This window comes from Homo sapiens, chromosome X (assembly GCF_000001405.40).
Source record: "Homo sapiens chromosome X, GRCh38.p14 Primary Assembly".
Taxonomy (NCBI): Eukaryota; Metazoa; Chordata; class Mammalia; order Primates; family Hominidae; genus Homo; species Homo sapiens.
In genome coordinates, this window is record NC_000023.11 from 77,605,941 (window position 1) to 77,617,957 (window position 12,017).

General features: G+C 35.1%; 1 protein-coding gene across 11 annotated transcripts in view; it reads right to left on the bottom strand.

Moving 5' to 3' along the window:
* Positions 1 to 12,017, bottom strand: part of ATRX (ATRX chromatin remodeler) — a 281,337-nt gene that overhangs the window by 101,061 nt on the left and 168,259 nt on the right. For 10 of the 11 annotated variants that reach the window (XM_005262156.5, XM_005262157.6, XM_006724666.5 and 7 more), the window contains one exon: positions 10,673 to 10,790. In XM_005262156.5, coding sequence (XP_005262213.2) covers positions 10,673 to 10,790 — 118 coding nt within the window. Of the gene's footprint in view, positions 1 to 10,308; positions 10,572 to 10,672; positions 10,791 to 12,017 lie in introns of those variants that run through there. The other variant, XM_006724668.4, reaches the window with a different exon arrangement.

Sequence of the window (12,017 nt, forward strand, 5' to 3'; positions counted from 1 at the left end):
AAATGACCATTAGAGGCTACTATGACCAACTATATGCCAATAAATTGGAAAACCTAGAAGAAATGGATAAATTCCTAGACACATGCAATCTACTAAGATTGAACCAGGAAGAAATCCAAAACCTGAACAGACCAATAACAAGTAATGAGATCAAAGTAATAATAAAAAGTCTCCAAAGCAAAGAAAACCTAGAGACCCCAATTTACCTAAAGAATTTTCATTTTAGGTTCATGGGTACATGTATGGGTAAATTTACCCCAATTTATGTGCACATGTACCCCTGAACCTAAAATGAAAATGTAAAATAAAATAAAATAAACATATTATGGCATGTAAAGCCCCAACCCCATCCCCCAAAGAAAAATTAAAAAATGAAAAGCCAGGTACCTAATACCTTCACTGCTGAATTTTACCAAACATTCCAAGAAGTACTAATTCCAATCCTCCTCAAACTATTCTGCAAAATAGAGAAGGAATACTTCCAAATTCTTTCTGAGACCAGTATTACAATGATACCAAAACCAGACAAGGACACATCAAAAAAAGAAAACTACAGGCCAATATTCCTGATGATCATTCATACAAAAAACCTCAACAAAATACTAGCAAAACAAATTGAACAACACATTAAAAAGGTCATTCATCATGACCAAGTGGGATTTATCCTAGGGATGCAACGATGGCTCAGTTTATGGAAATCAGCTGAGTGTGATGGCTCACACCTGTAATCCCAGCACTTCGGGAGGCCGAAGAAGGAGGATCCCTTGAGCCCAGGAGTTCAAGACAAGCCTGGGCAACATAGAGACCTCATCTCTACAAAAAAAAAAAAAAAAACCCACACACACACAAAAATACATACATACACACATATAAATATACACACACACATATATGGAAATCAATCAATGTGATACATCGTTATGAACAAAATAAAGGATAAAAACCATATAATCATTTCAATTCATGCTGGAAGCACATGTGATAATATTCAACATCCCTTCATAATAAAAAGCCCTAAAAAACTGGGTATCAGAGGAACATACTTCAACATATTAAAGCTATATACGACATACCGACAGCTAGTATCATACTGAATGGGAAAAAACTGAAAGTCTTTGCTCTAAGATCTTGAACACAACAAGGATGCCCACTTTCATTACTGTTATTCAACATCATACTGGAAGTCCTAGTAAGAGTAATCAAAGAAGATAAAGAAATAAAGCGCATACAAATGGGAAAGGAAGAAGTCAAATTATCTTTGTTTGCAGATGACATGACCTTATATTTGGGAAAGAAAAAAAACTAAAGACTCCACCAAAAAACTATTCGAACTGATCAGCAATTTCAGTAAAGTGGCAAGTAACAAAATCAATATACAAAAATCATTGGCATTTCTATATGCCAACAGTGAACAATTTGAAGAAATCAAGAAAGTAATCTTATTTACAATAGCTACAAATAAAACAAAATATTCAGGAATTTAAGAAGCGAGGCAGGGCACGGTGGCTCATGCCTGTAATCCCAGCACTTTGGGAGATCAATGCGGGTGGATCACTTGAGGCCAGGAATTCAAGAGCAGGCTGGCCAACATGACAAAACCCTGCCTCTACTAAAAATACAAAAATTAGCGGAGCATGGTGGTGCACACGTGTAATCCCAGCTATTTGGGAGGCTGAGGCATGAGAATCACTGAAACCAGGAGGTGGAGGTTGCAGAGAGCCAAGATCGCACCACTGCACCCCAGCCTGGGTGACAGAGACTCTGTCTCAAAAAAAAAAAAAAAAAAAAAAGAAGTAAAAGAACTCTACAATGAAAAATATAAAACATTGATGCAAGAAATGGAAGAGGACACCAAAAAATGTAAAGACATTCCATGTTCATGGATCAAAAGAATCAATATTGTTAAAATGTCCACACCACCTAAAGCAATCTTCATATTGAAAGCAATCCCTATGAAATAAATACCAATGATATTCTTCACAGAAATTGAAAAAACTATCCTGAAATTTATAAGGAACCACGAAAGACCCAGAATAGTGAAAGCTATCCTGAGCTAAATGAACAAAACTGGAGGAATCACATTACATAACTTCAAAGTATACTATAGAACTACTGTAATCAAAACAGCATCGTACTAGCATAAAAAAGACACATAGGCCGGCCGGGCACAGTGGCTCACACCTGTAATCCCAGCACTTTGGGAGGCCGAGGCAGGCGGATCATGAGGTCAGGAGATCGAGACCACAGTGAAACCCCGCCTCTACTAAAAATACGAAAAATTAGTCCAGCACAGTGGTGGGTGCCTGTAGTCCCAGCTACTTGGGAGGCTGAGGCAGAAGAATGGCGTGAACCCAGGAGGCAGAGCTTGCAGTGAGCCGAGATTGCACCACTGCACTCCAGCCTGGACAACAGAGCGAGACCCCGTCTCAAAAAAAAAAAAAAAAAAGACACATAGGCCAATGAAACAGAATAATTAACCCAGAAACAAGTTCACACACCTACAGTGAACGCATACTCTACACAGGTGCCATGAACATGCACTGGGGAAAGGATAGTCTCTTCAGTAAGTGGTGCTGGGAAAACTGGATATCCATACGCAGAAGAATGAATCTGGACACCTATCTATTGCCATATATAAAAATCATATTCAAATGGATTAAAAACTTAAATCTAATACCTTAAACTATGGAATTACTAAGAGAAACCACTGGAGAAACTCTACAGGACATTGGACTGGGCAAAGATTTGAGTAATACCTCAAAAGCAGAAGCAACCAACACAAAAAAATGGACAGATGGGATCATATCAAGTTAAAAAGCTTCTGCATAGGAAAGAATACAATCCAACAAAGTGAAGAGACAACCCACAGGATGGGAGAAAATACCTGCAAACTACGCATCTGACAAGGGATTAATGACCACAATATATAAGGAGCTGAAACAAGTCAAATGGAAAAAAATTCTAACAACCTAATTAAAAAATTGGCAAAAGATCTGAGTAGACATTTCTCAAAAGAAGACATGCAAATGGAAAATAGGTATAAGAAAAGGTACTCAACATCATTGGTCATCTGAGAAATGCTAATCAAAACTACAATAAGATATCATCTCACCCTTTAAAGTGGCTTTTATCCAAAAGACAGACAAACGCTGGCGAGGAGGTGGAGAAAAGGGAACCCACATACACTGCTGTTGGGAATGTAAATTAGTACAACCACTATGGAGAAAAGTTTGGAGGTTCCTCAAAAAAGCAAAAATAGAGCTACCATATGATCCTGCAATCCCACAGCTGGATATATACTCAGAAGAAAGAAAATCAGTATATTGAAGAGATTGGCACTCCTATGTTTGTTGCAGCACTGTTTATAACAGCCAAGATTTGGAAGCAACCCAAAGTTTATCAACAGATGAATGAATAAAGAAAATATGGTACATGTACACAATGGAGTACTATGCAGCCATAAAAGAGAATGAGATCCTGTCATTTCAAACAACATGAAACAGCACGAAAGACAAATTTTACATATTCTCACTTATTTTGGGGAGCTAAGTTTTTTGTTTTTTGTTTTGAGGCAGCTCTGTCACAAAGGCTGGAATGCAGTGGCATGACCAAAGCTTGCTGCAGCCTCTGCCTCCCAGATTCAAGCGATTCTCCTGCTTCAGCCTCCTGAGTAGCCAGGATTACAGGCACATGCCACCTCGACTTTTGTATTTTTTTTTATAGACAGGGTTTCACCATGTTGGCTAGGCTGGTCTTGAACTCCTGCCCTTAAGCCATCCACCTGCCCTGGCCTCCCAAAGTGCTGGGATTACAGGCATGAGCCACCATACCCGTCCAGGAGCTAAAATTTAAAACAACTGAACTCACAGAGATAGAATGTAGAACAGCAGTTAATAGAGGCTGCGAAGGGTAGTAGGGCAGGGGGAAAGGAGAGATGGACATTAGGTACAAAAATATAGTTAGGTAGAATGAATAAGAGCTAATATTTTATAGAACAGGGTGACTACAGGCAACAATAATTTGCTGTACACTTTAAAATAAATAAAATAATATAAATGACTTGTTTGTCATTTAAGGATGAATGCTTGAGATGGATACCTCATTTACCCTGATGTGATTATGCATTGCATGGCTGCATTAAAATATCTCATGTACCCCATAAATATATATACCTACTATGTACCCACAAAACTTAAAACAATAAATTTTTTCTCTATACAATATCATGTCACCTGCAAACTGAAATAGTTTTACCCCTTCCATGACACTGTGGCATACTTTTAGTTTTCTGGTATAATTGTCCTGGCCAGAACCTCTAGAAAATGTTAAATATAAGAAGCAAAAGTGACATCCTTGTTTTGTTCCTGACCTCAGGAGAAAGCCATTGAGTTTTACATTTCAATTAAATTCCTCTTAATAGCATAAGACACACATCCAAAGACAAAAACTACTTAGCTGGAAGATATGTCAGAATATACTAACTTAATGCAGCAGAGTTAAAATGATCAGGAATGTGGAAGAGATCTTGAGACGTGGTTGATGGAGTCAGAAGAGCTGATAAATGTCATATCAAAACAGAGAGAAGGGGATAGAGCCAATTTGAAGAGGTAATTTAATACACATTATAAACACAATTCTACTAATTTGAAAATATTAGAGTGTACACTAAAAAATATTTTGTGGCATTATCTTTTTGATCACATTGCTATGCATTTTCATACATATCCTTTTTATTTCACAGAAATGGGTACTATTTCATCTTTATTACATAATATATTCTATATATTCCTAAATATTAACACACAATATTCTATGTTATAATATTTAATGTATCTTCCTGCATGGTATTAGATTATGGTGATATACCATAATATAAACTATCCCCAAAAGTTGAGGATTTGGGTTAATTTTCAATTTTTCATTATTATAAATAATGCCACAACAAGTAACAGTTCACTTTAGGTCACAAGCTGGATAATATAATTCCAGCCATTAAAAAAATAATAAATAAATAAATATATATATATAGTATATAAACACAATGTATATGTATTGTGTGTTTATGTAGTGTGTGTTTATGACATTTAAGTGTCACACATACATTTTAAAAACTGGAAAGCAAGATATTAAATATTAAATAACTAGCAGTTCCAACTTCTAGTTTATAAGATTATAGGTAGTTTTTATTGTATTAGTGCCTTTCAATATTTCATATATATTTCACAATGAACACACATTGCTATTTCTGTAGCCAGAAAACTAAGTTTTGAAACAAACCCTGAGATTAACATCTTTTAATATAAATCTCTGCATACATTTCTGACCATTTCCTTTGGAAAAAAGCATACAATTGAAATTAATTTTGACGTCCCTTTCCAAATTACTGTCCAATTTATGTTACCATCAAGAGGGCTCATTTCTCTATAGCCTCAGAAACACTTAGTATCATTTTATCTTTGTAAATTTAGTAGTGTTCTGCATTTAATGGTGATTCTGACAGTACAACCACATTTGGAAATTACTATTATACATTCTTTTCCCAGCTTGAAGTACACTATTCCAATGTTAGTCATAATATTTTTAAACACTAAATTTAACTTAATAACTTATTGAAATAGCCAGATGAGGCTATTTCATGCAAGCATGGTGGCTCACACCTGTAATCCCAGCACTTTGGGAGGCTGTGATGGGGTATCACTTGAGCCCAGAAGTTCAAGACGAGCCTGGGCAACATAGCAAGACCCCATCTCTCTATATAAAAAATGTTTAAATAAATATTTTTAATTAAAAGAAATATAATTTTAAAAAACAGCTAGAAGAGAATTTTGAATGTTCTCACCACAAAGAAATGACAAGTGTTTGAAGTGATAGTTATGCTAAATTACCCTAATTTTATCACTACACAATGTATACATGTATCAAAATATCACTCTGTGCCCATTAATATGTACAATTACCATGTGTCAATTAAAAACAAAATGAAACTTTAAAGTATTTTTCTGATTATGGAAGTTTTACATATATGTATATTTCTTGGATTTTGTAATTTTGCAGAAATGTATATAACAAGTAAAATACAAAAGAATTAATATTTCCACCACTTAGAGAAAACCATCAAAGTTAACATTTCAGTGTCATTTCTCCATGTTCCCCTTGTCTAGTTCACTCATCTCAGGTCTCAGCTCACCCCTTACCAAAGAAAAAAATTTGGAGCAATGGTTCTTAAGCTGATGGTCCATCAAAATCACCTGTAGGGCTCATAAAACTGTAGATGCATCGGCCCTACTCCAGACCTTTTGAATCAATCTCTAAAGAGTGGCACTTGGGTCCATGCATTTTTAGAGACAAAAGCATATTACTGTGCTCCATTTGGGGGTACTTTTTAAATTCTGGTAAAATATACATTTTAAAAATTTACTGTTTTAAATGAGAACACATGGACACAGGGAGGGGCACATCACATACTGGGGCCTGTTGGGGGGTGAGGGGCAAGGGGAGGAAGAGCATTAGGACAAATACCTAATCCATGTGGGGCTTGAAAACTAGATGATGGCTTGATAGGTACAGCACACCACCATGGCACATGTATACTTACGTAACAAACCTGCACGTTCTGCACATGTATCCCAGAACTTAAAGTAAAATAAAAATAAAATAAAATAAAAAATTTACTGTTTTAACTACCTTTTAAGTACACAATTGAGTGGCATTAAGTATAATCACAATGTTGTACAAACATCATCACTCTCTATTTCTAGAACTTTTTCATCATTCCAAACAGAACTTAGTACCCATTAACAGTAACTTCCCATTCCCTTCGTCCCCCAGAACCTGGTAATCACCATTCTACTTTCTACTCGTAGAGTTTGGCTACTCTAGGTACCTTTAAGCAGAAGTATACAGTATTTGCCTTTTTGTGTCTGATATATTTCACTTAGCATTAATGTCTTCAAGCTTCATCTATGTGGTAGTAAATGTCGGAATTTCCCCCCTTTATAAGGCTAATATTCCACTGAAGTATGTCCATACCACATTTTGTTTATGCATTCATCCATCAATGGACATTTGGGTTGCTTCCACCTTTTTTTGCCATTATGAATGATGCAACTATAAACATAAGTGTCCCAGTATCTGCTTGAGTTCCTGCTTTCAATTCTTCTGGGTATACCTATAAGTGGAACTATTAGATCAAATGGTAATTCTATGTCTAACTTTCTGAGTTACTACAATGTTTTTCCATAGTAGCCACATCATCTGACATTCCTACTAGCAATGTACAGGGTTCCACTTTCTCCACATCCTCATAAGCACTTATTTTCCTTTTTTTTTTTTATAATGGCCACCACAATGGGTGTGAAATGGTATCTCACTGTACGTTTGATTTGCATTCCTCTAATGAGTAGATATGTTGAGCATTTTTTTATGTGCTTATTGGCCATTTGTATATCTTCTTTAGAGAAATGTCTATTCAAATCCTTTGCTTCTTTTTGAAACAGACTGTTTCTTTGTTGTTGAGTTGTAGGAGTTCTTTACATACAGTTGACCCTTGCGCACCAAAGGTATAAACCACACGGGTCCACTTATACAGACTTTGTTTCAACCAAATGTTGATTGAAAATACAGTATTCACAGAATGTGAAACCTATGTTTGACTTTTCATATATGCAGGTTCTGCGGGATTTGTGTATGAGCAAATTTTGGTATACACAGGCAGGTCCTAGAACCAATCCCCCACATATACCAAGGGACAACTATATTCTGCATGTGAATCCCTTATCAGATATATGTTTTGCAATATTTTCTCACATTCCATGGGCTATCTTTTCCTGTGTTCTATTTTTTGCACAGTTGTCAAAATAAGACAGTGTGTGGATTTTAAGTTTAAAGCCAGACTAATATTTAGTTATTAAAAAATTAAGTATCTACATGCTTATAAAACCTTAAGTGTTTACTGAATTGCAGAGGCTTACATGTTATTATAAACTTCTGATACCTGACAATAAAAGGCAAACCATAGAATTACACTGAAAAAAAGAAAACTAAGAAAAATTAAGAGGATTTTAGATTTCCTCAATATTCTTTAAAAGCCAGTCCCTTAGGACTTTCATTCTGCAAATATTATAAATTATCACTAAAATTAATATGAAACTGCTGCTAATGTTAAAAACAAAATTTGGGTGAACTTCTTAAAAGTAACCACAGTCTAAAAAAGCCTAATGTAGAAACAAAAAATTTCTGGAATATTTAACAGACAAAATACCAAACATTTTAAATGCAAGTAAAATAGGCAGGTGATATTTCAAGAGAAATACTGTGAAGATTTGTACTGAGAATCAAGACAGAGTAGCCATTCATATAACCCACTTGGCCTTTTATGAATGTTTTTCAAAGAGGCTATTTAACTCAGGTTATTCTACTCTATGGGTAATATTGCATTTGGTAAGGGGAAAACCCCACACCCTAAAACTTAAAGATTCACGGTACCAGGTGATAATTTAACAATCATATCTTTTAGATTTTAGCTATGGCAATTAGTGCTTTAGATATTTACTCCTATCAATGATAGTCACAAAGAATAAAGCAAAGCCCCCTAAATTCTTAAATAATTGCATTGCTCTCAAAAAGAGTGTTTTTTTAAAATTTTTAAAAATTGATACATATTATTTTTACATATTTTGGGAGTGCATGTGATATTTTGTTACATGCATAGAATATGCAATGATCAAGTCAGGGTATTCAGGGTATCCATCACCTTGAGTATTTATCATTTTTATATGTTGGAAACATTTCGAGTCCTCTCTTCCAGCTATTTTGAAATATAAAATGCACTGTTGTTAACTACAGTCACCCCATTCTGCTATCAAACAGTAGAACTTATTCCTTCTATCTAACTATGTGTCTGTACCCATTAACCAACCTCTCTCTATCCCTCCCTCAACACACACATACTTCCCAGATTCGGGTATCTATCATTCTATCTACCTCCATGAGGTCAACTCAAAAGAGTAGAGCTTAACATTTATACCTGAGCTGTTACCATTTGTGATTGGTGGTGGTGGTTGTTGTTGTTGTTGTTGAGACAAGGTAGTGCTCTGTTGCCTAGGCTGAAATCCAGTGGCACAATCATGTCTCACTGCAGCCTTGACCTCTCAGGATCAAGCAAACCTCCCGCCTCAGCCTCCCAAGTAGCTGGGACTACAGGTGTGCATTACCATACCCGGCTAATTTTTTGATTTTTCGTGGAGATAAGGTTTCACTATGCTGCCCAGGCTAGTCCCCAACTCCTGAGCTCAAGTAATCCTCCCACTTCAGCCTCCCAAAGTGCTGTGATTACAGGCATGAACCACCATGCTCAGCCTATGATTGGTTATTAAAGACAACTAATTCTATAAAACCTGAAAACACTATTGTGAGCATTTTCCCTAATATAAAACATTTTAAAAGGAAAAAATATTAAATGACCAAATTTATTACTCCTTATTACTCAGAGATTAATTAAAGACAGATCTGAACATCTGTCTCTTAAACTATACAGCAACTCTCTCATTGGGATAACTATTTGGTTATTTAATTATGCCTGCAATTTTTATTATTCAAAACAGAATAGTATAGTAAATCTATCAGCTTCTGACAGATATACAAATGAAAATGTGTGCTTTATTGGAACTGATTTTCTTCCAAAAGTCAATACAAAAATTGCTTTTATAAAAGCAAAAAAGCAGTTCCATAAAATACTAAGATTCAAACACTGTTTTCCCCAGCAGAATGTTTCTTGAGAACCATCATATTTTACTCTCTAGGATGCACTGCTATTAAAAAAGAGTACCACTTTAGCTATAATTATCATGTTAATATGTGTGTACGTACTTCCATCCTCCTTTTTTTTTTGATCAATTACTGTATTCACAATTGGCCAAAGAGCACCCTCTAACCTGTATCTCCTAATTAAATCAGTAATATCATTTGGGGAAAGGTACCAGAATAAGTGATCAACAAGTAAGAAATCTCACTCCAGTCCAAAGATTAGGTTTTGTTGTGTGAAGACAGACATCTTCAGGCACAGAGAGACACAGACACACACACACACACAAAAAGCTTATTGATGGTAAAACAAAAACTATTCATTGTATTATTTTAAAGCATAGAAAAATACAAGAAATAAACTAGAAGGTCTTCATAACAAAAGCACCCAGAAAACAACTTCTGTTAGCATTTTGGTGTATTTTAGGCATACTACATGCCTTGCCTTCTATTTTACTTTTGCCTTCAACCTTTGTTAATTAAATAACTGAGAAACAAACTCATGAATTTAACTTATACACCTTTTATTATTAATGTGGGTAAATACTTTTTAAAAAAATACTCTGGAATTTTGTATATCTTCTTTTATGGATTTATTCACATTCATAATTTTTCTGAAATAAAAGCTCTTTACAAATTAAGGGCATTATTCATATGTGCTGTATATCTTTTTCATCAATTTGCTTCTTGATTTTAATTTTGACAGCATCAGTGTTTTAATTAGAAATATTTTATGCTTTTAAGCATACCCATTTTATTCAAATGCAAAACTGAAAAAGAACAACAGACATAGTAAGATGACTGAAATAATCTTCTTTGGAAAAAGAATGTCTTTATAGAGAAGATGAAATCAACAAGGTGTATTGTTTACCTGTTAAGTGATCTAAGTAGTACTGATAGAGCTTGCACTGAATAGAAGTCATTCTCACAGCTAACACATATTCGTGTTTTGGAGGCAAGAATTTTGTTAATGCTGTATAATCTTTCCTCTGTAATTAACAAGAAAGAGAATGAAAATTAATCTAAATATTTAACAGGAATGAACTACAAGTTCTCATTGCTTATAACTGAAATATACACATAAATAAATAGGCACTAAACATATAAGAAAACATTTTCTTAAATATATTTACCCTTTCTAAACCCACAATTATCTACACAATGTATTTCATATGACTATACAATATGGTACACTGGTAAAAAGACACTGCAACACACCAGGTAGGTTTTAAATTGAAGCAATCACATTACCAAGTGAGCAATTTAAGTTTTCAAAATAGTCTTCTCTGTACAGAAAAAAAAATAACAAAAGGTATGGAGGGGATGTAGTAGGTAGTGTGAGCAAAATGCCTTGCTTTAATCATGTAATAAAACCTAGGAATCAAAGTCTAATGCAGTCTGAGTTGGCTTCTTAGAAAGATATGCTAATATGTCAAACAATAACATATAATTTTAGAGGGAATATTTGCCCAATTAAGAAAGCAACCCCTCTACAAGCACTCTTGAAACCATTTTATTGTAAGAGTAGAAAAACAGAACACCAATGTGCTAAATAGAAATTACTCCTTAAACCAGAAAGAAAAATGCTGCCTGGGTAGTAGCAGCAATACAGAAACAGGGTACTTGCTAGCACATGTAGCCAACCTGACCAAACGGAACAACTACTCCTTATAATGATGGCAAGTACAGTCATGCCTCAGTATCTATGGGAGACTGGTTCCAGAACCCACCCCACCTCCACAGATAGCAAAATCCATGAAAGTTCAAGTCACTTATATAAATAATGTAGTGTTTGCATATAACATATAAACATCCTCCCATATACTTTAAATCATCCCCAGATTACTTATAATGCCTCACACAATACAAATACTATGTAAATAGTTGCTATACTCTATTGTTTAGGAAATAATGACAAGAAAAAAGTCTGTACATGTTCAGTACAGACACAATCATCCATTTTTTTCTTAATTATTTTCTTTCTTTTTTTTAAGAGACAGGGTCTTACTCTATCATTGAGGCTGAAGTACAGTGGCATAATCTTAGCTCCTTGCAGTCTTGAATTCCTGGGCTCAAGCAATCCTCCTGCCTCAGCCTCCCAAGTGACAGAGACTATAGGTGCGCACCACCGTGGCTGGCTAATTTTTTAAAACTTTTTTTAGAGACAGGGTCTTGCTCTGTCACCCAGCCTGGAGTGTAGTGGCATGATTTTAGCT